Below are 2,710 nucleotides of genomic sequence, written 5' to 3' on the forward strand. Positions count from 1 at the left end.
TTGATTTTTTTTATCTTTTCAAAAAGCAACTTTTAATTTTACTGATCTATTGTTCTTCTAGTGTCTATTTATTTCTACTAAGATCTTTATTATTTACCTCATTCTAATGACTTTGGGCTTAGTTTGTTCTCTTTTTTTTCTAGAGCTTTGAAATGTAACATTGATTTACTTATTTAAGATCTTTCTTTTTTTTGAGTTAGGTATTCATTGCTGTAAATTTCCTTCTTCAAACTGTTTGTGCCACATCCCATGAGTTTTGGCAAGTTGTATTTTCATTTTTATTCATCTCAACATATTTTTAATTTTTCCTTATAATATCCTTTAACTCATTTGTTGTTTTGGTGTAAGTATTTGTGAATTTTCCAAAATTTCCATGCATTTATCATTTTTCCAAAATTCCTCCTGTTATGATTTCTAGTTTTATTCCATTGTGGTCATAAACGATACTTGGTTTGCTTCTTAAATTTGTTAAGACTTCTTTTGTGTTTTAATATATTATCTATACTGAAGAATGTTCCATGCATAGTTAAGACTATGTATTATGTAGATATTTGATGAAATATTCTATATATATCTGTTAAGTTCATTTGTCCTAGAATATAATTTATGTCCAATGTTTTCATATTGATTTGCTGTTTGGATGATCTGTCCATTGCTGAAAGTGAGGTGGTGAAGTCCTCTACTATTATTGCTTTGCAGTTTATCTTGCTGTTTAGATCTATTAATTTTTATTTTATATATTCAGGTGTATACATATTGAGGGCATACATATATTTAAAATTTACAGTTGTTATATCCTAGGCTTTGGGTTTCACCAGGGTTTTACAACCTCCTACTTGAATCCCAATGCTCCCACAAAGATACTTTTGCCCATAGGTGGGTGGAGAATTCTTGCTGTTGTTAGGATATGAGCTGGTGACCTCCTATTTTGCCTTTGTGCCTATGTTATTTGGATGCTGTGTTAATGCATTCCTTACTGACTGCCTTCCTTTCCCTTCCCTGTTTCACTTCCTGACTACTAAATACCCACTAAACATCTGCACGTTTCCCCCCACCCCCTACTACCCTTCCGAGCCTTCCTTAACCATTCTTCTACTCTCTGTCTCCATGAGTTCAATTGTTTTGATTTTTAGATCTTTTAGATCTTTCGGTCTTTTAGATCTTTTAGGTCTTTCAAATGAATGAGGACATGCAATGTTTGTTTTTCTGTGCCTGGCTTATTTTACTTATCATAATGATCTCCACTTCCATCCATGTTGCCAGGGATGACTTTCCAAATAAACTACTTGCATTTGTGTATTTGCCACAGGGTTGGCTTCTGGAGGAAGCCAAACTAATAAAATTACTATTGGAACTAAACATAAGAAGCAAATTCCCAGGATAGAACTCTGAAATTGAATCACCTCATTCACTGGCCAGAAGTCTATAAGAAGATAATTTTGTGATGAGTCATGGCATGCTGTTATAAAGCTATTAAAATGACTCATAATTGTAAACACGAGTAAAGTAAGGAGCACTGGCTTTTGCAATGTCTCCTGTCTCCAGCATCTGTTAGATATAAGGGCAATGGTGATTTTAAGACAAAAAAAAATTAGCTGGTTGTTTATTGCTATTGAAGCACAGCCAGAAGAAAATAACAACTATGATGCAAAAGCCAGAAGACTCCCCTGGCCTTGTTTAAAGAATTGTTCTTTGCAGCAGAGAACTGACTATATGGAAAATCACAGCTAGTTACTCACTTAAGGAAGTTGTGCTTCCCAACCCTTTATAATTCAGTTTTCCTGAACTACTGGTCTTGTTGCTGGAGTAGAGAAGATGTTGCCTCTATTGTGGGGCACAAATATGATTCCACCAATCTCAATATGACTTTTACCTGATCAATTTGGATACTTTATGGAAGCAGATAAGAAAACAAAGGAGTTACTATACCACCTAGGAAAAATTACCTTGGTTTTTAGGAAAAGATACAATCTCTGACATATAATAGGATTAAGAATGTGTATATCAGTAACTCAGGGGATTCATTAATGTGCTTTGAATAGATCCATGCCTGGTGATAACTGTAGGTAGAATATTGTGGTAGCCATGGCTTGACAAGAGTAGAGTAGCCAGGAGCCCAAACTCCTCAGGGATGTAGATTTGAGTTACTCCACTGGACAAGCAACCTAAAGCAACAAAAATGCTTGTGAAGGGTGAGAAGAATCTAGAATGGATAATAGAGAAGACAGATGATTTACATCATATGTGACCTTGATAACAACTGCAGCAGTGTGAATGTAGCTTGTTACGTGAACCCTCCAGACAGAGTCAATTTTTTATAAAGAAATTGTGGTTAGCCACTACCTTGAATAATCAATGGCAGGATGAAATAAAGTTAATGTGGGGCATGGATGAACTAGGTGCTGCAAGTGCCTTCATCATTTCCATATACATTGGCCCATCATCCCAATGTCAGCCCCTGCCTTAATTTGTCTGGGGGCTTTTACTTACCTTGGGAACCTAATCTGTTGACCACAGGTCAGGCTATAAGGGAGTATTTAACATATACTTTTGATACAGAAGCAACTCTCAACCTAAGACTTCTGGGTTGGTAGATAAATACACTAGAACCTTAACTCATCCTTGGATGGGAAATGCTAAAAGGTATGCTCTATGCTGACTTCTAGAGTTCTCCAGTGAAATTGAAAATGAGTTGCCTGTAGTGATAATT

General features: G+C 35.6%; 1 annotated feature.

Moving 5' to 3' along the window:
* Positions 850-1,144: a silencer, noted in NCBI's record as "tiled region #9782; HepG2 Repressive non-DNase unmatched - State 23:Low". NCBI's record gives its function as "represses a minimal TATA promoter and a strong SV40 promoter by Sharpr-MPRA in HepG2 cells {active_cell/tissue: HepG2}" and the evidence as "EXISTENCE:reporter gene assay evidence [ECO:0000049][PMID:27701403]".

This window comes from Homo sapiens, chromosome 14, assembly GCF_000001405.40.
Source record: "Homo sapiens chromosome 14, GRCh38.p14 Primary Assembly".
Taxonomy (NCBI): Eukaryota; Metazoa; Chordata; class Mammalia; order Primates; family Hominidae; genus Homo; species Homo sapiens.